Source organism: Homo sapiens, chromosome 1, assembly GCF_000001405.40.
Source record: "Homo sapiens chromosome 1, GRCh38.p14 Primary Assembly".
NCBI lineage: Eukaryota > Metazoa > Chordata > Mammalia > Primates > Hominidae > Homo > Homo sapiens.
The window spans coordinates 41858833-41885628 of NC_000001.11; the positions used below are offsets into that span (position 1 = coordinate 41858833).

The window sequence follows — 26796 nt, forward strand, 5'->3', positions numbered from 1 at the left end:
CTGCATGAGGAGGGGGTCTAGTGGGAGAGGGGGTGCCTGGGCAGACAGAATGTCAAGTGCAAAGCTTCCGAGGCAGGAAAGAAGGCCATTGTGGCTGGATTATAATACATCAGTAAGAAGAGAGGCTGGAGAAGCTGGAGAGGTTGGCAGCTCAGGCTGGAGAGTCCTGACCCCACTGCTTACTGGCTGGGTGGCCTTGGGTATTAATGCTATATGCTGCCCAGGGTTATTAAAGGAATTATGTAAAGGATTGAAAGAGTAAATCTATGAAACATCAACATCAGTTAGAAGAATGCCCAGCACACAGTTGGCATCAACAAATGACTGCCCCTAGGGTCTGTTTACTTATTTATCATTAGTCTCCCCTGTGGCATGGAAGCTGGGCCTGGCCAGTTTTCTACCCTGCCGAACCAGAGTAGCTGGCACCATGCCCAGCCTATAGAAAGAACTCAATGAAAATTTGGTAAATGAATGGGTTTTAAAAATGGGTAATGGCTAAGGAAAATCAGAATTTGGCTAAATATTAAAAAATAGATTTTCGTAAACAATTTTTTCTAATTATAAAAGTAATGTCATGTCTTCAATATTTTAAACAAAAATGGGGTCATATTCTACATACCGCTTAGTACCTATTTTCCACTCCACATGTCTGTTACAAGAGGCAGGAGAATGTAAGGGTAGGGATGTGGGCTCTGGAGACAGATTGCCTGGATTCACATCCTACCTCCACCACTGGCCACCTAGAGCATCTCTCTGAAGTTACCAAGCCAAAGGACATTTGGGATTTTTAAGGCTTTTTAACACATATTGCCAAATAGTCTTTAAGAAATAGGTGTGAGCCCATCTCCTCAAACCTTCATCTACGCTGACTGCTAACCTTTAGACAATCTTTGCCAATTTGTTAGGGGAAAGAACAACCTTTCATTGTTCTAATTTGCCTTTCTTTAATTACCAGGGATGACTAACAGTTTTTCATTTGCCTTGTTCCTCTTGCGAATTGCCTGTTCATGTTTAAAAAGGAAGCCCGTTTTCATAATTAGATGCAGCAGAGTAGGTGGCCTCAAAGTGAACTCCCTACCGCTGGGAAGGGTTGAGCAGGGCCAGGTGGTTGCCCATCAGGGAACTGGGCATCTCTGTGCCTTGTGGACAGCAGAACTGGATGAGCTCTGAAGTCCTTTATTACACTGGGATCATTTCACTCTTGTCCAGACCAGCAAAGGTAGCAGGCAAACCTCAAAGAAAAGATGGCTTGCGGATCAACAACTGGATTCTGAAGACCTCCACCAGGATTTCCCAAGGTGGATTTGATGCCTAAACATCTCTCATAAGCTTCTGCATAAAGACACCCCAGTTATATCGGAGAGAAGAGTCAAATCGACATGGTTATGCCTCTAGTAGCTACAGCATGCCACAGTGGGGGAATTCCTTAAATCTCCCCCTTGACAAGATGGAAAACCTTCGTGGTCATAGATCAAATCCTACCACAACAAACATGTTCATAATCAAGGTCAGCATAGCACAAAGACTCCTAAGGTGGGGCCAGTGGTCTGTTTATCTCAAGCTATAACTTTTTTCCCTGCTTTGCATTTGGCTTTGGTACAAGAATTTGACATAAACACCCTCCTAACCCCACTCCCCTACAGGTATTTACATAGCAATTTTCTCCTGAGCTGGTCAAAACCCTGCTAGGACTTGGAGAATTCCATTGTGTTTGTAGTAAGCAGACACCTGGAGCCAGATAGCTCTTAGAGAATAAACTATTCTTGGATTGGAAAGGGATCTGAATGTATCTGACGCCCTCCTTTTGCAAAAATTTTGCAGTGTTTTCAGAGGACCTTCTACATTTTCACTAAGGGGATATTTCCCCCTAATATCTCCACCATTGCCATTGTTGGAGTTTCCTGCTGGGTCTGGCCCCCACAGGTATAATGCCAGCTGGAAACAGAACACTCACATCTCTTAAATTACTCCACTAACGAAGAAGTCACACGTGGAATTAGAATTCTGGCTAATTTTCCTGTGGGCACACCTTAAGCACACAAACCTGAAAGCAGCAGAGCAGCGAAACTGGCAGCCAAAATAAAGCAAAAAGAAGAACATCTTCCAGGAGGGAGGTGGAATCAGATTGAGGCAAAGCCAGGACTAGGTTCTTGGCAACGTGATTAAAATCCCGAACTACGAGGGAGGAGAGGCCTTGCTGCCAGCCCCTCAGCACACTCGAGCCAGGGCACTGGAGGTGGGTGGTGGTTAAAAGCTGTGTGCCATTCACAGCCTATAGCACTGCCTGTGTCCGTCAGTATGGGCAGAATGGCTAATGACTCCAAATAAAACTCCTACACCATGCTCCATCTGGGGACCATGTTATAGCTGAATACACAAAGTCACTTTGTAGCTTGCCCGATAAGTCCACTTTAATTCCTCCAAAATAATTCATGGAGGCCTGTGAGCACACTGCACCAGGCCAAGCACTAGGGTTATAAAAAAGAAATGAAAAAAGAAAAACCTAGTTGCTCTACTCTAAGGGCTTATGATTTAACCAAGGAGATGAGATTCACAATGGTAGCTGGCAATACGGTAAATCAAGGCACAAAGAATCCAGGAGTGTGTTCTGCTAGAGGCCCAAGAGGGCAGCTGGCATTTTCAGGAGGATGCAGGTCAGCCTTTATGGGAAAATGGATTGAGTTTACCTTGAAGGGTGGGGAAATTTTAGGCAGGTGGCTAAGAAGTGAGCTGGCCTCTGGGGATGTGGGGAGACTGTGAGCGCCGCATGAGACAGGCTCTGCATCCTGCACATGCTGCCTGCATTTCCAGCCCTGGGAGGAGGATTTGTGCAAGGGAGGCAGAGATGAGAGCGTTGATAGGAAGGAAGGAGGCCAGATTTCAGAGAGGTCTGAATCCCACACAGAGAAGCTTGGGCTTTCTCCAATAAGCTGCAGGGAGCAGTTGGAGACTTGTGAACAGCAGATTAACATAATTAAATAAAAACTTCAAGACTTTAGCTTTTTGTGGGGATGCAGACTAGACGAGAGGTGATGAGAACATTAGAAAGCTTTTACAGTGTAGACCAGGCTGGCCACGGTGTTGGCAACGGGAGAGAAAGAAATAGATCTGGAAGATACCACAAAGCAAATATCTAAAGGGCTTGGAAACAAATTTGGCCGGGGGGCGGATGAAGGATGAGTCAGGGGCAGTTCTGAATTTTAAAACTTGGGGGATGTGAGGTGGAGGTGGCATCGTCAGACATAAAGACACAGGTTCGAGCAGCTTTACAAGAACTTAAAAAGGCCAGACCACCCAAAGGTGGCACTGACTGGAAGCACGAGGCTACGGACAATGCTTCCTCATTTCAAAGGGGAGTTAACAAGTTAAGTGAAGTTTTATCCACCAATGAAATGGCTGTCTGTCCAAACAAATAAGCAACAAGTGTGGGCTCTGCACTCCTCTCCACCTCTCTTGCTCCTTCCGTTGATGCTCCCCTAACATTTATCTGACCATAAGCTAAGAGCAGTCATGAGAACAAGATAGAAATCCTCAGAAATCCAGAACTCTAATCCTTCCTTCTGCTGAAATACTGTAGGGCTTAGTTATTTTCACACTTATGCATATGCTTCAGTGTGTAAGAACTGAGTCATTGTTTTCTTTTCTCCTCCCCTCTCCCCTCTCTTTCCCTCCTCTTTGCCACCCAGCACCTCCTCTGCCTCCACCCCCAAGCCACTGCAAACATCCTGGCATGCATCTCTCCCCATCCATTTCTGCATGGCTGTCAACATTTCCCATTCCCTCCAAGCTTGCCTCCTGCCTCCTATTTCTTTAGACACACTGGGAGTCTAAGAAATGAACTACAGATTCAACAGGACTGTGGACCACAGATCTTGACAAAGACAGGCAGCTTGTTGTGAAAAGAGAATTGGAGGGCAGGTCAGAGACTTAGGTTTTAGGAGTCAGGCAAGGGAATCAGATAAAGATCCCTGAAAACAAGGGATATCATCACTGCCCAGCTTTACTGACGTAGAGACAAGTTTTCTCACTTGGCAGATATAGACGGAAGATAAGCAGGTTCCCTTTCAGATGGTAACCCCAAGTGCAGTGGCTCACAGCTGCAGTTATTCTGAATGGCAGCGGGAGGGAAGGAAACAATGAATGCACACACACACAAGAGCAATGCTTAAGGTGAAATGGACTTGAACAGTCTCAAATGCACACCTCCTCCAGTTCCTGGAAGGCAAGGATGAGTCAAACAGAAGTTGAATTTCACAGGCGTTCCTCCTCCACTGTCACATACGTTCCCAGACGCAGAGTCATCTGTGCACATGTCACCCAGCATCGACTGCTACCAGCAACTGCCTCCTGGGAAGTTAAGCTGCAGGGTCAGATCTGCTTCTGCTGGGGAGCTGAAAGTAAACTGCGTAAGGTGGGGGTGATCCCAGTAATGTGAGGGCAGGAAAAAGCAGAGAACGCTGGAAAAGGATGGCAGGAATTAACATGGCTCTGAAGAGAGGAGCCAAGGATCACCTGATCTGTAGAGCCTGGAATCTGCAGTTATTTCTAGTTTCCTAGACAACCCTGACTAAACTAGGAAGACATCTGAACTCCGGCTCAAAAATAATATAGGTTCTTGGAATGGGACAAAAGAAGAAAGGAAAGGGGAGGTGATACCATGTGCCAGTTCAGGGAGTGGGGACCAGACCTTCAGAGAAAGGAAGGTCTTCCCAAATGGAAGCTGAAATCCCAGTGGGCATTATGCTTTCTGTACTTTTGCATTTGTAGCCAAGAGCATGATTCTAATTCTGGTTCTCCAGCGGAGGTGCGGGCAGCACATGTGCATGAGTTCGTCAAAATTGATCTAACGGCACACATAAGATCTGTACATTTCACTGTATGTAAATTAGATCCTAGTAATTCTACCTCTCTCAATTAGTTGGTTGTGTGACCTTGGACAAGTCATTTAAATTTTTGTAGTCCAGGATTCTCCATCTGTCAAGCTGAAGCTAAGAAGCTGGCCTCTAAGTTTCTCCCTGGCTCTAAAATTTACGATTGTGAGAGCTGATTATTGCAGGAAATGAGCAAATACATCCAGATTAAGAAGGGCCGCAACTATTGATAGAAGCTAAGAAGAATTTCTGAATGGGATTAGCCATCTGCAGAAAATTCCCCCTAAATCATCCATCCTGGAATCAGACGTGGAGAGAGGTGAAGATTCCATCCTCTGCACCAAAAGGAAGTGGCAGCCCCTCCTGGCTCTGCATTTTCCCCTCCTTCCCATCCGCTCTCCCCTACAGACTCTCTAAATTCTTCCACTGGAGATTCCCCAAGGGCTCAGGATTGGGACAGGCCTTTTCTTCCCTTCCTTCCAAATTTCCTTTGGGTTTATAGCACCCTGGTCGGGTTCACAGGAAGGGAAAGGAGAGGGAAGAAACCATTCACATTTGGGTGTGCGTAGCAAGCAGAGAGCTGGAGGGTTACAGAAACTTAGAGGAGGTCAGAGCCAGACAATCATCTCCCCATCCTATGTCTTATGGATAAGAAAATGAAGATGCAGAAAACTAGTGTGACTTCTCACCATTTCTAAAGCCCCGGAAAGAACAGATCAAGGAGGCAGCTGTGGCCATCTTCAGGCTGGTTCTTTCACATAGAGATGCTCCTACTTACTCCATAAATAGTTTGTCATGGGCAACTTTCAGACAGAGGAGCTGGAACTACCCTAACCGGGCACTGGAACATGTGTAAGTAGACCACCTGGCTCACCTGTTTCTCTTCTCAGAGGGGCTCTGAGTCATGAGGAGAACCTCTGGATATGCAGAATGGATAAACTGCTTCTGTCAGGATGGAAAGGAATTCACAGATGTCTTGCCAGCAGCTAACCAGTGACACAGCTGAATGGTAGCAGGCCCATGGAAACACTCTGGATAAGAAAGACTATCAAAGGAGCATCAGGTCCAGATTGCAAATTGCTTTAGCAGCTAACATAGGCATAAAGACAGAACGACCCACTCTAATCCAAGGGGGTTACGCTTCAGCGCTGGCTGCCTCTGACTCTCACCCTTGACCCAGCCCATTCATCAGTATGTTGATAAGCAGATTCTCTTCACAGAGCTCCTTAATCTGGTTTCCCAGGGAGGTCTTGCAGAGATTAATGAGAGCACTGTGCTTCCTGCCAGTTTTTGAGGCTGGGACAGTTAAACAGCAAGGGTGAAGGAGCTTGTCATAAAGTACACAAACCATCCCATCATTGGACTTGACCCCATTAGGTGGTTAACTCAAACATCTTCTCAATGTAGACACTTGGATCTATTTTTTTTATTCACTCTCTCCTTGGTAGCCAGCAAAATTAAAGCCCTTCCTCATATCATCGTTCACGCCATCTTTTATAATAGTCACAGCCACAACAGCAGCTGGGGCTAAACAAAGATTAGGAGCAATAAGGATCAGATGGGACAGACAGGAGATCTGGTCCTACCAAGGGGCATCACCAATGAGCTGGACCCACTGTGCAGCCCACCTGTCAAATGCCATTTGCCACCTCTGGCGGTGATAGCAGGGGCAGCTGGGGCTGAATCCATGAATCCTGAGGTCTCACAGAAGTACAGCCACCCCTGTCATCTAGCCCCTCCCCTCAGAATATGCTCTGGGGAGCTGTCACATCCCACACTGCAGGCTGATGGAAGACACAGACACACTCTTGGGTCCTGGCATTATCGCTGTTTCCTCTGGTTACCTTTAAAGAAGGGCGTCTCTGAGTGCTGGGTCCTCCACTGGAAATAATGTGGGGAAACTGGATGAGCTCTGCAGAGATGAGAATTATTTTGAAGCAAAGTAAGAAATGACCAGGGAACTCTAGATTGGAATACAGCTTGTGAATTCCTAGGTAGGTGTAGACTCAAGAGTTTATAGGAACTTATATTTGCTGTTATTTTTTAAAAGTCTTAAAAGTTAAAATTTACAGCAATAGCAAGAAGGAGGACAAAGTGCAACAGCTTTAACTATGAGCTAATACCAAGGTTAACACTATCTGTCCATTACACGTAGCTTTGGGATTTGGCAAAAAGGAAAAAAAACCACATAACACGGAGCTTTGAGCTCATAAATAGGTCCCAAAGACTTGACAAATAAACTAACAAGGCTTTTATGGTAGAAGGGAGCATCGAAATCTGAGGCCTTCTGTGCCTTCTCTCCCCGCTGCTGTGATGGCAGCTGGCAACTGGGCCCTACTGTCCATTAACAAAACAGAGAGACGGATAACTATCCAGCCGAGGCCAGCTTCCTCACACCAGGCAGATCCACAGTGGACTCTCAGGAATCTTCAGCACCCTTTACACCAGCAGTGGTCAAAGTGGGGGGTGCAGCTGCCTTGGGACTGAGAGATGGGGATGGACACATCTGCAGGGAGGGGTCAGGCTCTAGCCCCTTTCCCCAGGCCACCACTCCTCAGAGGCTGGTCCTCCACCCCAGCTTCAGGGACAGGGGATGCATGGTGGAAACCACTGCAGCTGCTGCATTAGCAACCTTCAAGAGCCAAAGATTCTCTTCTCTCTAGCCAGAGAGGGAAGGCAAACAGGTTAGGGTGACCTGCAGCTCAGGGTCGGCCCCAGGCCAGGCCACTGCCTGTACTGACTCCTGGGCCTCTATGCAGTGCACTCCACTTTCTAGGGCAGGCTGCTTGCCAAGGATTCACAGTGGACCTGGCTGCTCCCTGTGGGACTCACTGGATCTGGACCCAGGACCAAGCCTGCTTGCCAGGAGCAGAAGGTCAGGTTGGTTTAAAAAGGTAACCTCTGTCCTTTCCCAGTTCCGTTCCTTTCTCTTCCCCAGCTACCTCCTCCTCTTCTCCAAATCAGCCTTCTCTTGGCTCAGTTTCTGACCTTGGGTATTTTCCCCAAGGAACACATCCGACCATCAGGCACTCAAAGGAGCATGAGCCTAGTCTTTTCCTCAAGCAAATCACCCCGGTACAGTCAGCAGCTGCAGAGCACAGGGAGCTCCTGGCATGCTAAAGGTCATTTACAGATCACTGAAAAATCTGGACAAGATGCTAATGTCCCAGCTCAATGCCCATGTCCTGACTTAAACCTTGACTGTGTCTTAAGGACACTCAACGTCAGGATACCTATGACAGAAAGAGGGACTTCTGAGTATTTCAGGCATAACAGGCAAAACAGACATCTTTAAAGCTTGCAAAATATATGATTCTGTCATTCCTCTGCATCCTCACCACCACCATGATGGAGAGCCAGGGCCAGTCTTTCCAATCATCACTCAAGCTTCCAGTGGCTATTGGGCACTCTCCCTCTTAGAGAGGGGACACTCCAGCAGGAACTCCAGGTAGAGAGCTGTTCTGCAGTGGGCATTTCTAGCTCAGGGCCAGCCTCCGAGACTCTCCAGGAGTGGCATGAAATGAGGTGGATGGGGCTTCCTTGTCCTGGCCATCATGTGCCTACAGCAGGCATTGGCAAGCTTTTTCTATAAAGGGCCAGAAAGGGTTATGGACCATCTTCTTTGATGTTTTTATTTTACAACTCTTTAGAAATGTAAGAATCATCCTTAGTTTGAGGTGCCATATAAAAACAGGCGGCAGGCAAATTTGGCTCACAAGCAGGCTGCAGTTTGCAGACCCCCTCCTAGAGGAAGATGCTGAGGCCTCACCAAGCAGCCCCTCCCCACCTTCCCTCTCTAGCCTGACTCCTCCAGACTCATTCCAGCTGCACGTGGCACCTGTACTAGGCCGCAGGATGGCCTTCTTGCTGCAGGCATTTCAATGAGAAAATATGCTGCATGGATCATGAGTGATTCTGTCTCCCTCGTGCTTAACCTTGGAAGCACAAGGCCCTGCTGGCCTCACCTCAAGGTCTCACCTGCCCATACTCATGCGACCTTGTCCACCATCTCTCCACTACGAGGTGCCATCTGGTAAATGGCCTAACTTGGGTTCTTCCTCCCACGCCTCCTGTGTAGGTTCAGGGCAGGGAGACCAAGGTAAATCCTGTCAGTTCTATCTGAAGGCAGAGCCTGGATCCAATCACTTCCCACCCCTCCAATGCTATCACCTAGAACACAGCCACAGCCTCCCATCTGGACTCCCTGCTTCGATCTCTGCCCTCCCCCCTCCCCTTCCAAAAGCTCCCAGAGGCTTTCCATCTCACTCAAAATAAAAGCCAATGTCTCTGAGCAGTGAAAGCCACCCACCATGGTCATCCAGGTCCTATCACTGACCTGCTGAGCCCCAACTGGCCCGCATGGCCACCTGGCTGGCCTCAGTGCCTCCTCTTTCCCCTAGCTGATACTAACTCCAGCCACACTGGCCTCCTTCCTACCCTGCTTTTCCTCTTAGCCATGAACACCATCAGTAGTTATATAATAGTTTGTGGGGGTTTTTTTTTTTTTGGTCTTGTTTTTCTCACTCAAATATAAGCTCTGTCAAATAGAGTCTGACTTCAGTGTTACACTCCAGGGCCCAGTGTCAGCCTTGGGTAGGTGCTCTACAAATATACAAATATTTGGAGAATGCATGGGGACAGGATGCCCTGCTGATGGGTGAGAGATGGTGGCACTGTCATGACACTGTGTATCAATTTGCACTTGGATACTTTTATGCAAATAAGTCTCTTGCTCTTAAGTCCCCTCCTCCCCCGCCTTAGTAGCCAGATGAACCGATAAGACACTGAAAACAGATACACCCCTGGAGACACTAGTCTCCAATTTTTTGTTTATATTCAACCCTAAAGCAATAACAACAAACTCATATTCCAACTGAACTAGTCAATTATCTCAGGGGAAAACAACAAACGATTGCTTTATGGTTTAGAGCACACCTGTGCGTGGCTCTCCCGCACTCACCACAACCACCCTCCCATGAGCACAGCAAGGAAAGAGAAAGCATGGGCTTGCTCAGCAGAGGTCTGGGTTTCAAATCCTGACACTGCCATCTATAGGTGGTCTGATTCTGGACATGGTACCAAGTACACTAGGCCTTAGCTTTACCATCTGTTAATTGGGGATACTAACACTTATTTCGTAAGACTGTTGTAAGGCTTAAGTGAACAATTAAAACAAAACAGACACCTAAAGCATAATGACTGTGCACATTAATTGCTCAATAAATAGGAATTTCTCCCCTTTTGTAAGTGAGGAAGCAACAGTTCAGAATGTGAAATGATTTGCCTGAGATCAGAAGGCTTGTTCCCAGCAAAGGTGGGGTTCAAAGCAATGGTTTCTGTGGATGTATTTTTTCCCTAGCATCCAGCCTCCTTCCTGTTCATGTCTACACCCTATAGGCTACTTATGTCAGTAGAATAAAACAGGTGATGGCTCTCCCATCGACCTGCTTGTTGAGGATTTTGGGACAGTTCCATTCTAGGCTAATGCTCATTACTAAAGACAATGCTCATTAATAAAGACAACGCTCTTAAGGAGGTCACCCCCTCACACGGAGAAATCTGTGTGTCACAAGCAAGGGATCAAAAAAGCTAAGAGAATTCACCTGCCCTGGATATCAACTGCCCTTAAGAGATGCAAACTAAAGGTGACTGCCTTCCTTTCCCCAAGAGACAAACGGAAACCCCACTCAGTGTGAGAAGAGCACATGCCATGGAGGCCCCAGACCAGTCAGTGCCCAGTGAGGAGATGACAGAGCCTGACGCAGCTACATCTGAGATCAGATGCCAAGGACACAGCAAAGACTGATGAAGCCATACGTGAGACACCAAAGTACGAAACTCACATTCAACTCAAAGGTTTCCATGTTTGATGACTGTTATCTCCCTGCACAGTGTTTTTCTTTAAGGAGCACATGTGTTCTATAATCCTATAAAGTAAATTTTTGAAAAAAACAAAATGAGAAACAAAGGGACACACAGAAACTCTTGCAGGTGACGGATATGTGTATTACCTTGCCTGTGGTGACAGCATCATGGGTGTAAGCATATGTCCCAACTCATTAGACTGTACACATTAAATCTGTACAGTTTTTTAATATCAATTATAACCTCAATAAAGTTGAAAAAATAAAGAAAATTTTTGTAGAACAAAAGCCTTCTCCCATTAGCTTTCATCATGACATTGAAATGTGTTCCTCTTGAAACATATTGGCCCCTGACATTATAAAAATATAAATTATTAAGGAACAAATCTTACAAGTAACACGTTTGGAGGACAAACAATAAAGAGATGGCCTAAACAATGTCTAAACAGATTTGAAACGGAGCAGAATGTGAGTGCGTCTGACTAAAAGAGGAGGCTTTTCTCAAGTGTCAGTCCTGAGACAAGGACCCTGGGACTGCTGACATCCCAAACATAGTGCCCCTATGACTCCAAGAAGGGAAGGTGCTGCAGGGGTGACGGTCCCTCCCCACCCCACCATCCTCATCTGGCTGATCCCTGCTCATGCCTCAGACCTTAGCTGAAATATCACTTCCCCAAAAAAAGCCCCCCAGCACTAGATTGGGTGACTCATTCACTCATTCACTGAGTCATCCATTCAACAAGTGATTACTGACCCCCTAGTATGAGTCACATTCGACTTATCACTCTCTCTTTTCAACGTTGCAATTAAATAATCACACACACAATACTGATTTACTGTCTGTCACCCTCCCTAAACTGTCAGTTCCAAAAGGACAGAGATTGTATCTGATTTGTCATTTCATTCCCAGCGCCTGACACAGTACGTGCAACATGGTAGGCATCCTGTCCATACTGGCCGGGTGAACGTACAAATGAATGAATTAAAGCATTTGAAAGCTCCATTCATATTCTAAAATTCCAAAATGCACCCTGCTGTCTACTTTACACAGGGATAATTGATGTTACAATCAATATGACTTTTAAATTTAACAAACGAAATTGTTTTATTTATTAATCTACTAGTAAGTGAAAACAATAAGATGTAAGACAACAGGAAGAAAGTTACTCTCCCTGAGAGGACAGAACCTGCAGGTGTTATCCTGGGACTGGCAGAAGCAGCATAGGGTCATCGCTGAGGGGAGTGTGGATAGAGTCAGGCTATCTGGGTTAGGGTCTTGACCCCTCCACTGACCAGCTATGTGACTCTGGGCAAGCAACTTAACCTCTCTGTCTTCCAGTTTTCAAATCTGTAAATTGAGAATAAGAATATCAGCTTCAGATAATTTCATTAACAAGTAAATGGATTACGACACGTGAACTGCTTAGAACAGTGCCTGGCACGTGCTAAGTACTCACTAAATGTCAGTTGTTTTTATTTTCTGGAAGAATGGGAACAAGATGGGTTAAAACCAAGGACTTGGACATACTGTCACTAAATTCACAAACCACTCAGACCAAATCTCCAAGATTTCCTATTACAAAATGAAGTAATTCAAAGGCAGGTGGCTGGATGGGTTATCTACTCCAACTTCCAGACTTACTGCTTTACCTATAGAGGTGATGATGCCTTATCCATCTGAAATTAAGGGCCAGGTCAAACAAACCCTCAAGGTTTCTCCAGGACTGGAGTCTGGGATTTGATTTTATACACCCCACAGTGCCCAGCACAATGACGAACATGCATTTAAAGCTTAGAAAATGTTCACTGTGTTAATTTACAATGAATACCATTTAAAGCTAAAAAAAAAAAAACCCCTGCATATTCTAAAGTATATTATCTAGCATATGTGCTAGCCCCAGAAGAATAAAATGCAGAAGTGAACAGGAGTTGCTTCATGGAACTGAAATTAATTATACACAATTATCTCTGAGATCTTTAAACAGTAAGTGAACAATGAAAATGTAGATTCAGAATTCTCCTGGTAATGAATAAGATGATGAACATGTTTCCACAGAGGGTGGGATCAGGTTGATCTGCTGAAATAACCAGATAGCAGGATAATTTCACTATCTACGTGAAACATTATCCAAGAATCTGTGCGTTACTCGACAATTAAATCAGTTCAAATGTCTTATCAATGATTTCATAGAACAACCTTCAATGAGTTAACAGGAACCCGTAGATAAAAGACAAGAATAGGGCTACGTCAAGAAGCTCAAAATCCTCAGCTGCTGATAATGCAAAACCTTGGCCACATTGATGAGCCCAAGACCACCAGATCTCTTTATACTGAGTCATTTTTTAAAGAAAACTTTTATTTTATATGTTAGTTTTCCTTATAAAAATAAGTTGTATTGAGGTATAATTTATATACAGTAAAATGCAACCATTTCAAGTGAACAGTGGGTTTTGACAAATGTATATACCCAAGTAACCACTACCCTAATCAAGATATAAAAACTTCCATAATGCCAGAAAGTTCCCTCATCCTTGATAAAAGAAAAACTTCAGCCGAATTAAATTTAAAGGAGTTTAATTGAGAAATGAATGACTCGCAAATCAGGCAGCCCCCAGAATCACAGCAGGTTCACAAAGACTCCAATGCAGCCATGTGGTGGAAGAAGATTTACAGACAAAAGAAAGGGAAATGACATAGTACAGAAAACGGAAGTGAGGTACAGAGTGGCGGGATTGGTTACAAGTTGGCATTTGCCTTATTTGAACACAGTTTGAACACTTAGCAGTTTATAAATGGTTGAAGTATGGCCACAGGGATTGGCCAAGACCCAGCTATTGTTACAGGCACATACTCCTAAATCTTGTCTACCTATTAAGCTAGGTTGCAATTCATCCACAAGAACTCAAATATAGAAGTACGGAGTCCTTCTCAGGCCATATGCAGTTTGCTTTAACACACTCTTTCTCGGTTAATCCCTGCTCTTATCTCCCTCTATCCCACCCCAAGGCAACCATAGTTTTGACATTCCCCCTATAGATTAGTTTTGCCTATTCTAGGATTTCATGTAAATGGAATTGTACAATATATATATACTTGTTGATATCTGGCTTCTTTCAGTCTAATGCTTTGAAAATCCATGCATGTTTTTGCATGTGTCGGTAGTTTGTTCCTTTTTATTACTGAATAATATCTATTTGGGTGGACTGCAAGTTGCTTATCCATTCCCCAGTTGATGGGTATTTGGGCTGCTTTTAGTCTTGGACTGTTTTGAATAAAGCTCTTATGAACATCCACGTACAAGTCTTCCACCAACATATGTGTTCACTTCTCTTGAGTAAATACCTAGGAGTAAAATCACTGGGTCATATGCTGTGCATGTTTAACTTTCTAGGAAAATGCCAGATTTATCCTGAATAACAGAAATGATCAACTGATTTACTATTAAAGGACTTACTGGATTTTATAAGGAAAAGAGGAAACGAGACGAAAGAAAATGTAGTGCATCTGAAAGCACATGGGGGCTGCTTTGCTGAAGGGGCTGGCAGGCGGCTTCCCAGGCAGGGTCTGCTCAGGACTGCTCTAGCCAGATGCCTCCCCTGGTGTTTACTTCACCCACAGGAAAATGGCCACCTTCACCCCACCTTCAGTGGACGTGCAGCCCCTTCGGTGCTCCTCTCTTCATCTGCCTTCAGAGGTAGTCCTGATTAACCTGTTGCCAGCAGAATTTTCTAGGAGAGACAGGACTTGGGGGTACCACTAGGCCCCGGGGACATGCACTCAGCTGGCCCAGGCACCGATAACCTAGCATGTCCTTTTAGAATTTGGGGGATCCCGGCACCCACTGTTCTCAGCTTTGGGCCTCAGCTAAGGCCAGGACAAGCATCATTTAATGTCATGTCATATAATTAGTATGGAAACTACAAAAACCTATATGTTTACAAAACAACCACTGATCTACATTATTTCAGAGGTAATGATACTTTTACATGAGATAACTTCCCAAGACACTAAGCTGAAATTAGATAAATTTAGGTTTTCTGTATTCTCGCTGACTTGTGTTTTTCACACTGGCTTTATCTTGGTTTCTGAGGGAGAATCAATTCTCTTTAACTCTCTTCCAGAATACCTCACTACCTTCAGAAAGGAAGAAGGAGGGAAAAAAGGACAGAGGGAAGGAGGAGGATTAGAATTCCTCATATCAGAGAATCCCAGAGCTTTGAAGCTTTAAAGTGAATTCAAGAGTGGGATTCAAGAGACCAAACCATGGGGTCTAGGGGAAATAAGGAACCCCTCTCCCAGAAGGTGGAGAAGCTTCTCAAAGCAACTGGCCCAGGCAGCCTTGTACTTGCTTCATTCTGGGGTCAGGAAGAAGCTGCAGGCCCTCCTTCCCACCCTCGCTTCCCTTCTCCTCCACACTGTCAACTCTGCTCCAGGAAGGGGCAGTATCCCCAGTGTCTGCTGGGCCAGCACAGCCATCTCTCACCCACCTGAGTTCATAATGACTCCTGTGTAGAGCAGACTTCCCTTGGCTTCACTGAAACCATTCCTTCTTGTCTTAGAAAGCAATCAGAAATATAGTTAACTGCCTTAAAGTTCCCTTATCATTGAAATGAACTAGATCACAGAAGTGCCTATTTGCATTTTTTATTCTTATTCACTGGGTTTTTAAAAGGAGCCAAGAGAGGGGAGAGGAAATGCATTTACTTGCTGGGATTTCACTTGGGATGTTCATGTTCGTCTGGAAAGCAAAATAAAGGCATGAAGATTGCCCACTGATTTCCTTTCATTTGGAGAATTCTGCTTGAGTTAGGCTTAGCTGGCTAGCACATAAACCTGTCAAGAGAAAAGTCTTCCTCTTCCTGGGCCTGGTATGTCTACCACCTGGGGCTTCAGAGACAGTATTCTAGGAGATTCACAGTGTCTAAGGTTCGAAATGTGGACTTCAGCAGCAGGGCAGCTGCCAAACGCTTTCCTGCCCTTGCAGAAAGCCACCACCAAACTCACCACCACCTCCCTCACCGTGGCCTCTCTGTTTCAGTATCTGAGCAGCGGGTGAGGAGGACTGGATTCTAGAAGATAAAGAGAGACTCCACGGTACAGAAAGTAAGCCCTCAATAGGATTCTATTAGAAAACAGCTGGAAGGAACTGTGGAGTCACTCAGTCCCATGGCTGATTTTACAGACAATAAGCAAACAAACAAACAGAGGCCCTGAGGGATTTAGTTAGCGGTCTCCAAGTGCCAGTCCCTGAGGAAAGGATTCTCCTCCCCAGCTACCTTTCCCTTCTCCAGTGTGTCCACCTCAGGAAAAGGGCTTGCATCCTCCCAGCTGCTCACACACAACTTGGGCTGGCCTTGGTGCTGGCTCTGTCCTTTCTCCCACCAGATCTGCCTTCCGCCCTCGCCACTTGTCTCTGCCCAGGGCTCACTTGGAAGGACCACATCAATGAACAACCTTGGCAGGTCACAGGGAGGGATGGAGCGGGGGAGAGAACAGCAAATAGGCTTCTGCCCTGCAAGAGAGGGAGAGCCAGAATACCAGCCTGGCTTGGGCTGCTCCCGAAGGTCCTGGCTGCTGCCTGCAATGCAGCGCCTTCCTTCAGGGCTCCAGCACCATCCCCTGTCCTCAGCCTTTAAGGCTCTACTGCTCTCAGCCCCAGCCCTGCCCTTGAGGCTCCCCTGTACCCTGTCTTTGTAGATGGTGCCTGGGAACTGTCCCGCTTGGAGAGTGCTGTTTGCTAGGATACACACTGACTCCCATGGCTCCCCTCCAGCTCCCCATCCATCCTGCTCCTGGCCACGGCCTCTGGCCTGAAGGGCTGCAAAACAGCCTTCCAACTGGGTTCCTGGCTTCCCTTCTGGCCCCTCTTCATCTGCTGTCCCCAGCAGCATACAGAGCTATCCCATGAAATATAAGTCAGACCATGTCATGCCCTGGCTTAAAACCTCTCAATGGTTTCCTCTGGCATCTCCAGTAAAAATCAGAACTCCTTGCTGACTTTTGAGAGCTGCTCTAGACAGGGCTGCTCTCTGCAGCCTCCTCTTGTGCCCCGAGCTTCAGGACACTCCAGCAGCTGTGGGGCCTCCTTTCCCTTACTCATGACCCCAGGCTCTGCCCTGTCTCTGGGCCTCACACATGCTGTCCCTGTGCCTGGCAGGTGCCCCGTCACTGGTACAGGCTGTCCCCACCCCTCTAGGAGAGCCTTGCCTTAGCAGGGTACATGCCCTGCACCTTCTTCTCTCCACGAATTTTTATTCTCTATCCCTGGACTGTGCTCATTTCTTTCCAAACACCTAACAAATTTGTAATTATGTGATTTTTTGTTTACTTTTTAAATGACTCTCTCCCCCACCGGGATGCAAGTTCCACATGGGTACGAACTAGGTCTGTCTTGTTCTCCACCTGACATACAACAGCTACTCTAGTCACATCTACAAAACAGCAACTGGGTTTGGGTTCCTATAAAGTGGACAACTCTCCTTTCTGGGGAAGGATTGCTTCATAATCTGAGATTATGTTCCTTCTACTTTGTTGGGGAGAGTGTTAAGTTTTTTTTTTTTTTCTTTTATGAAAGGATAGTAAGAATAAGGGGTATTCATCAAAAATTTTTAAATGATAACCTGATATAATTCTCCAAAATGTTTTTAAAATTTTTGAGTCTATGATATCCCAGATTAAGCAATGTTTTGGGAGTCACAGTGTTGGGTCCTAGAGAGGCAAAGAGATAGGTGAAGATAGTGACAGAGAAGAGACCGGCTTTGCAGTCAGACTGCAGGGCCTGGGTTCAAGTCCCAACTCTGCTGCTTGGTAGCTGTCAAACTCTGAGCGAGTTGCTTAAACTCTCTGTGCCTTAGTTTCCTCATCTGTAAAATAAAGATAATAATAGAACCTGTTTCAGAGGACTTTATAAGAATTAAGTGAATTAATACTTGTAAAGTTAATAAAACAGTGCCTGGCCTATAGACAATGCTTGACAAACATTACTGCTATCATTATTATCTATTATTATTATTATTGCTATTGTTATTATTACTAAACCCAGGTCTCCTAAATCCCCAACCAGGACTCTTTTCCCTTTAAAATGTTATCTCCCAGCATTGTCTCTTTAAATGTTATCTGGCCACTCTTAAATGTAAGACTGAAATTCAGCACTTGGAAAACTATCCCACTCCAGCCAAGCACATTTTTTGAATAGCTAAACACTAACCCTGATAAAATGTATCCATTTAGGATAGAAATGTTTCTACAATATGTTACATCTTGTCTACTTTCTAACTGGGTTTTTTGAGATGAGTATCATTACAGAAATTATCTGCTGTGCAGCCTGGAAACAGCAAAAGGAAAACTCAGCACGTTCTACAGACGTGGGTTCAAAGCCCTGCTCTGTCCTCCCTCCAAGCCCTAAACCCCTCCTGAGTTTCAGTTTCCTTACTGAAGAAGTGGGAAGGCCATGTGCATTGAGAGGTTACTGTGGTTTTGAGTCCAGTGAATACACACACTGCTAAATCCTAAAACTCTTCTTTCTTTTTTGGTTAATAATATTAAACTCATCCAGGAGAATACCTTAATTTAAGACTCCAGGCAGAATTCTCCTTTCCCCAAGCTCTGCCAACACCCAAACCCCTCCCCAGAAGACAGCCTGGTTCACACAACAGAGGAACAGACCCCTCACGACTCTGCAGGGGGAATTCCTTTCTGGGAGAGAACACATGTCCAATAGGGCCAGTCCCCACTCAGGCTGCTGCTGTCACTCAGCCAGAAGGCAGGACAGGCTTTTGAAGCTGTGATATTTCTGAGTTTGGTTTTGGACAAAAACACCATTCTTCCTCATAGCCTTTCACACCCTGATTCAAGCAATTTTAACTGAATTCTATTTCCCTTCAATAGAAGGCTATTTGAAGATACAAAAACCATATTTGTGAATGAATTCTAGGATTGTATTTGCAGAGTCACTCCTGTTGGATTTCGTGCTCTATACCAAGTGTATTTCTACCTCTGGGCCTCAGAACCATTTCTCACACCCCCCAACAATATCTCATGCCCTCATATCCCAAATATGCAATTACCTATCAGTTGTGAAAGGTAAAAATAAAATTCATATGGGTTTCATAGGTCAATGGTTCATGTTAAAGGAGACCCATATTAAATAATATTATTAAGTAGATATTTATAAGGCTAAGAATAAAAGGTGGGGAAATGGGTGGGATTCATCTTATCTTTCTAATGTTCATTACCTAGAACCTGGAAACCAAATCAATGAATTTTCTGACTACAGACTCAACAAATATCATTTGTTTTTAATGATAATCAGATAATTTAAATCAGATAATCTAAATCAGGTAATTTAGAAATATCTGATTTCTAAACTAGTCCTGGACTACACTTACAAAGAAACAGCACTGCTATAGAGAAAGGATGAAGACATAAATTGGAGACAGGAAACAGGACCAGATTCAGAACACTATTCCTGCATATGAGATTTAAAGAAATATACATACATAATTTTACAACTCCTACAAAGCCTAATTTTATTTGTAAAATATACCAGGGTATCTTAGCAAGTTTCTTTGGAACCACGCAACTAAGAGTGCTTTTTAATTAATTGCACATCTAGCAATCCACAAATACGAATTAAGCACCATGAGTTGGCACTGAGGAGAATTTAGGTCTGTTCTCCCACAGAGCAAGCAATTTGCGAAACTTTGCTCTAAAACACATAAAAACCCTGGCCTTAGCTACCAATTTTAAGGATGTTCTATTCTGCAAGGGTTCATCTTCATTCTCTCCAAAAGGATATGAGGGTCCTGCTGTATTTCAATGGAACCAGACCCCCAAGGCTCAGAAATCAATCATTTCACAAGAAAAAAAGGGTAAGATTATATCTAAACATTTCATTAGCATAAATCTGAATGTGTGATATTTGGTCATTTTGTCTTAGTTTACAACCACCTTTGCAAGTGATAAAATATAGATTGATGGTGGGGAGAGGGTAGGAGAAGAAAACACCACACTCACATCACGGGATCTAAATTCCACCAGCAGGGGTGGGAGCTGAACTGGCCTAACCTGAATGTATGTACAAAAGAATTCCTTCCTTCCTCTCTCCCTCCCTTCCCTCCTCCCTCCTCCTCCCTCTCTTTCTAACTCCCTCCCTTCCTTCCTCTCCTTCCCCCCTCCCTCCCTCTCTTCCTCCCTCCTCCTCCCTCTCTTCCTAACTCCCTACCTTTCTTCCTCCCCTTCCCTCTCTTCTTCCCTCCCTTCCTTCCTCCCCATCTCCTGCCCTCTCTTCTTCCCTCCCTCCCTCCCTCCCCTCCTTCCTTTTTTTTCCTACCTTTCCTTTCCATCAACAAGCCCAGGTGATGGCAGGGATACCGCATACTCCACTTGTCTCTTCCACGGCTGGGGATGGCTCTATCAGCACTTGCCCCATTTTTAGGTTTTACTTCCCAGGTCATCCCAGATTTATAATCCATGCATAATGCAGGCACCTAAGCACTTCTGGGCCCCTACTAGAAATCCAGAGGCGAACAAGGCCCAGTGCCTGCCTGTTCTCAAGTCTCCATGCAATGGGCACCCTAGCGGAAAGAACACACTCTGAGATTAATCTGGCATTGCAGGGGACTTGCAGGACCTGTTCCAGGTGCCTGACATTATCTATCTAGAAGAGGTCTCCCTTTCAGCACAGTTATTGCCTACATGAAGGTGGCCTCTCTCAACTGCACAGGATGTGCCATTCGCCAAGGAATACTAGGCATCCCTCCATCGTCCAGACAGATCTCAAGTGAGATGCTCAATCCCTATAAGGGTTGGTTTCCCCTCAGTGGATTACAACACTCAGATCCCAACTTTCCACTGCACAGGATACCTTGCAGCCATTTGGTTTTGAATGACCTTCTCTTCCCCTCTTCCTGAAAATATAAGTTTCCTTATTGAAGCCAATTAAAGCCAATTCTGCTTTAACATATTCTGGAGCACTTCACAGCATGCTTTAAATTAAGCAGGAACACCCTGGTCTAGTGGTACTGCCTCCAAGGCAGTCCTCCCTTCATCTCCCTGCCTCCAGCCAATACCCTGCTTCTCTGTCTCCTCAGTCCACCTCTGCCTGCTCTGTCCCTGGTTTCCTCCACCTAGAAAAGTGCATCCAACTGATTTTAAGTACCTCTGACTTAGGGGTACCACACTGTGAAACCTCTGCTTCTATTTCCTCTTCTATACCTTGCATTGCAAGAAAATCTAGGCTTTTTATTCATTTTTTAGAAAAATTAGGGAAGTCACAGCCTAGGTAGTTACTAGAAGAAACAGGCAAGGCCAAGAAAAATAGCCAACTCACATAGAGCTCTTCTTAGGTGCCTAGCATGGTCTTAAGTGCTTTATAGATACTGACCATTAAACCTCACCACAGTCCTATGATGTAGATATTATTAGTGTGCCCATTTTACAGATCATGAGCATGAAGCCCAAAGAGGCTAATTAGCTTGCCTGGGATCATCCTCTCTTTTTTCTTTTTTCTGAGATGGGTCTCACTCTGTTGCTCAAGCTGGAGTGTAGTGGCGTGATCATAGCCCACTGTAGCCTTCACCTCTCAGTCTCAAGCGATCCTCCTACCTCAGCCTCTTGAGTAGCTGGGACCATAGGCATGCCACCATGCCCAAGTAGAGATGGGGGTCTCCCTATGTTGCCCAGGCTGGTCCCGAACTCCTAGGCTCAAGCAATGCCCCCACCTCAGCCTCCCGAAGTGCTGGGAGATTACAGGAGTGAGCCACCATGCCTGGCCCATCCTCTTAATAAATGGTAGGGCTGAGATTTGAACCTAGGGGCCTGACTCAGGAGTGAGTACTGCTTACCAGGAAGGGAATGTGGTCAGCATGACAACAAAGGCATCTCTGTCCTCCTTAAATGCAGCACCAACTCTGTAAACACACAGCAGGAGCTCTAGATACACCACGTTTGTACACATTTACTGAGTCTACATTTCCATGTCACCTTCAGGAAGAGTGGATTGGCTTGGGTGAGGAGAAGGAAGAAGAGCGGAGACTTCCGCCCTTGAGAGATTCTATTTTAATTTTTAAGAAAACACTGAACAGACCAAGCCCTGGATTTCAAGATCAGTTTTCGAGGTCTCCAGACATGAGGCAGTCATCTGAAAAGGAAGACATGACAGAGGAGTCTGACCTCTGTGTGGCCTCCTTGCTCTCCCTGCACTGCCTTCAGATCTCCCAGTGAATAGGAAAGGAGGGGAGACCTGCATCTGTGGGGCGAGCATCCCCTAATCCTGATAGGCTTCAAAAGGTTGCGAAAGGGGCCACATTCTCTAGTACTAAGACAATGGCATTAAATCTAAATTTCTTGATAACCAAACTAAGGCATAAAGGCCAGTTAACTATGTCTAGTTCTAATATAACACTCTGGAACATGCCCTGTGTTATCTTAGCCTAGCTTCCTAGAAATACTGAATCGCAATATTCCACAATGCAAGTTCCTCCCACTAAAGGCCTCTTTGGAGAAAGGAGTTGGCTGTGACAAAGGCTGTAGTATATAGAGGATGATCGTTATGGTGGTGATGACAACAGTGCTGATAGATTAGACAATAGCAACAATGACCATGAGGGCAACGAAGACCATGAGTTGTGCAACATCTAATACAGGTCAGGGGTGAATACTTTTGTGCTGACTGCTTTTCAAGCATTATTATGTTATATCTTCACAACAATGATGAGAGGTGGGTATCAGCACAATGCCCCCTTTGAAGATGAGGAGGAGTTAGATGAGAAAGGCCAAGTCTCTGGGGCAAGTTGCCATAATTTGGGTCATAACATGAACCCAGGCCAATCTGACTCCAAAATTTCACATTCTTATCCACTGCTCATCTCTCTCTTCCTATTAGAAAACCTTATTATAGAAAGTTCTAAAAACGATATGCTGATTAGTCAAATTTTCTGGTAAATACATAGTAATCAGTTCCAAATACTCAATTGAAAAAAATTGCCAAAATGTTCATGGTCCCCAGTCCTGCCTTAGTAAATATAGCACACTAAATATAAATCTAGTTCTACTTTATTAATAGACACATGATGGACTATCTCCCAGCTATTTGCCAGAACAATCTGTTCTTATTGTAGAGTATTTCAGATGTAGGTACAGCATTGAGAAGGACCATACACTCAGCCCAGGGCATGCTCTGAAACTACGGTATTAAACATTAAAATCTTTTTAAAAATGTGTTTTATTATTTGCCTTTTTCTTACAAAACTTCAGTCCAAATTATTTGGGTTGATAAGTAGAAGTTTCACTGTAGTAAACTGTACCAATGGCTGCCTGTGGTATGTCCAGAGTGTAAGAGAGTTGATGAGAAACAACAAAAGAAACAAACAAAAACTTGAAAATATAACAAAACTTGGCATAAAAATTAAAATGACCAGCCCCCTGATCCTAAGGAAAGTCCATTTTCTCATAGGGGCAGTCAGTATATTTTTATCTTGTGGCTTAATGTTTTTGTAGACACATTAAATCATAAAAATCCAAGAAACCATATCTCACTCCCAAACCACACAATGTATTTTAAGGAATATGTCCCTTTTCTAAGAAACTGCTTGATTTTCAGGAAGTGGTAAAGTGGCAGGTGTGTTCCCATGATCAGCCAGAGAAACCAAATAAACGTTCCACTGGGCAAACCTGTTTCTCACAGATAAACAGCTGCGAGCTGCACGCGGGAGGGAAAAGGATCGTAAAGACTGCCCCTATGTCTGCCTGACACTTTCTGGTTTTCTGTTTCAATTGAAAAGGAAGATGGCAGCCTACAACTGAGCAGACCCTACTGTGGCCAGGCCAATCCCAGCCCCTGCATGGGACAGGAGTTTCAAAATCCCAGCACTAGACAGAAGGCTGTGGTCATCTCTCCTCTAGGTAGACCTGGGAAGGGATAATTAAACTAGGAGTTGCAGGAGAAGCAGATTTCCCATGAAAAAGACATCATCACACAATTAATAGCTAGGCTTGATAGGAAGGGGAAGGAATGTCCCTTTTTACTTACTTCCAAGGCAGCCTCCACCTTGCTTCTCATACCACCCATCACATTGGAAACAATCACCAGTCTGTATCCTCAGCAGACTGTGAGCTCCTGGAAGTCCCCTGGGCACATAACAAGCACTCAATCAATGAGAATTATTGTTATTACAGTGTGTGTTCAAGAAATATCTGTTGAGTGAGTGGAACAGAGGAAGGAATGAAATAACTTGACTTTCCATTTGGAAAGTGTCTTGCTAAATCCTTGCTGTTAGAGTTCAGGAGTTGGGATAGGATTTCCTATACTGCCACTTTGGTTTGTCATGTTGTAAGCAGGGTTAAAGGCAAATTTTTAAAAATATGAGACAGGGCTGAACTGGCTTTCTGTCTAGAAATTCTAGATTAAAATAAGGGTCTGTCTAGGAGCGGGGAGCCAGCTGGCTATTTAGGAGGCTTGGAGGTTAAAGCGAAGTCTAAATGGAGTAAGAGACACTATTCCAAGGGGTCCCCTGGTCACACAGAAAATACAGGGGCAGCATTCAGACTACCCAGGAGTCTGCAGGACTTGGTATGAAAGAGCAAAAAGAAAAAAATATATAGACAACCTAGGAGGTCTGAGGACTCACAGACACTGACTGGCTGGGGTGGGACTGGCAGGAGCTGCTGGGAAGGCTGGGGCAGCTTCTCAGTGGTCCTGGCAGTAAATACTATCCAGGAAAAGTGTGCCTTGCAGTGAGAGAGCTGCTGGGAAAACGGCCTGGACAATCAGACTGCAGTGCTGTGAGCTAGATTGCCCTTCCCCTAGCCAAGAGGTGTCTCCCACCACCCTTCCCCTAAGCAGCATAAGAGTGAAACGGGGTGGACAGCTAATGCCCACTGACCTCCTGCTATGGACCACAGGCACTCTCCTGCGAAATGCTTGTGAGGTTGGTGACATCAACATTACACTAATGACAAAACTGAGCCTGAGAACTGCAACTCACCTGCAATGGTACACCTGACAGCAGAACCAGAACTTTCACTGAAGGCTTACCTCTCCAGGGCCAAAAGAGAACCTGTGACCCCACAGGATCGAGCCTGCCCCCTCAATGCCTGTCAGAGGCAGCCTGGTGGGTGCAGAATGTGATAGCAAGTTGCTGTTGGCACGGCCTGCTCTTCTGACAGCTCTGCAGGTTATTTCTCACAACTTTGCTGCCAGCTTCTCCCTGCCTGTCGCTGACCCCTGTCCCAGAGCCACCTCCATCTGGAAACACCCACCCCCCAACTCTAAAGTTGTAACCATACATACTTAAGCTAGAAAATTTAAAAGGACAAAGCAGAAAGGAATTAAGAAAAAAATGGAGTAACCTATTATTTTACAGAGAAATAATTTTAACATTTTGGATTAATTCCTTCACATACTTTTCTTTTGAGATGGAGTCTCACTCTGTCACCCAGGCTAGAGCAGTGCAGTGGCGAAATCTTGGCTCACTGCAACCTCTGTCTCCTGGGTTCAGGTGATTCTCGTGCCTCAGCCTCCCTGGTAGCTGGGATTACAGGAGCACACCACCATGCCTGGCTAACTTTTGTATTTTTAGTAGAGATGGGGTTTCATCACGTTGGCCAGGCTGGTCTCGAACACCTGGTCTCAAGTGATCCACCCACCTTGACCTCCCAAAGTCTTGAGATTACAGGTGTGAGCCACCACGTCATGAGCCCCCTCCAGTAATTTTCTATGCATTTAGATGCAGATACTGTTTGCCTGTCTTTAAAATGGTGTTGCACCAGACTAACTGTTTAGAGGTCCACTTCCCTGCTCAGCTGAGCACTGACACATGCAACCTGCCACCTGGGAGGATGGGCAGGCATTCCCGAAATGCCATCATGGCTGCTGCTAACCATCCCGGGATTGCAGGCAAGTGCGGCTGATGCAGAAGGACGTTGGGGAATGCGGACATCAGGGGTTTGCAAACTTGTGTTTCTCCCTCCACTGCCCATCCTGCCAGCCTCAGAAGGTTAGCCATGGAGGGTGGGCCAATCCCAACATACTCAAAAATTTAAAATCCTGAAGGGTTAGCATTGGAAGGGATTTTAGAGGCTATCCAGCCCAATCCCCTCACTTGCAAATGAGGAAAGCAGAGCTGAGAGAGATTTAGCTTGTGCTGGGTTCTAACAGTGGCTCCTTGCCAACCTCAGGCTCCTCCTGGTCTACCGTCTGTGCCTGGACTCTGCTCCAGCACCCCCACCCACCCACCCACCTGCCCCACTTGGCAGAGGGCAGCAGCCAGAGAAGGCAGGCCCAGGTGGGGGACAAGAGTCTCAGGACTCACCTTTCAAATTTAAAGAATCTCTCGTTACCATCACCATAACTCTTAGCCCAACCATTCCTCTTCAGATCCAAGGATATCTAAGTCTGACTGTGGAATTTTGTTGCGGAGGATTGGATACAGCTGTCAAATTCCAAAGGCATCCAGTACCCATGCTCTCCACAGAGCAGTCCCTTATTATACAAGCTCTGCACCAGCTGAGAACCATGTTCCAGTCTCATATTGCTCAGAATCTCCTCTGAGCTTCACATAACTCAGGCACAATCTCCCTGAATCATATGGCATAGGAAAGTCATGAGCAGTAAGACTTGGTTCAAGAAAAAATACCAAGTTCTGACCACTCAAAGTACCCTTAGGTGCTCTCATTCATGTGAGCTTTCCGTTTCCTGCTCTCCAGCCCCATTTCTTATTTGGGTTAGGGATCCCCTAGGGCTGCTCAGTGGTAGGGGGCCACTGAATTCAAAGCAGGCCACTGTACTCGAAGTAGATGGCTAGGAAAAAAAAAAGGGCCAGTCACAGTGGTTCATGCCTATAATCCCAGCACTTTGGGAGGCTGAGGCAGGCAGATCACTTGAGGTCAGGAGTTTGAGACCAGCCTGGCCAACATGGGGAAACCCTGTCTGTACTAAAAATATAAAAATTAACTGGGCATGGTGGTGCATGCCTGTAGTTCCAGCTACGCGGAGGCTGAGGCATGAGAATCACTTGAACCCAAGAGGCAGGGGGTGCAGTGAGCTGAGATCACCTCTGCA

The 26796-nt window shown here is 45.4% G+C and overlaps 1 protein-coding gene across 4 annotated transcripts in view, besides 1 other annotated feature; it reads right to left on the reverse strand.

Moving 5' to 3' along the window:
• The window catches only part of HIVEP3 (HIVEP zinc finger 3), a 529570-nt gene that overhangs the window by 352468 nt on the left and 150306 nt on the right, over positions 1 to 26796 (reverse strand). The window lies entirely within an intron of this gene.
• Positions 11488 to 11567: a silencer, noted in NCBI's record as "silent region_754". NCBI's record gives its function as "represses an Ori minimal core promoter by ATAC-STARR-seq in GM12878 lymphoblastoid cells {active_cell/tissue: GM12878}" and the evidence as "EXISTENCE:reporter gene assay evidence [ECO:0000049][PMID:35858748]".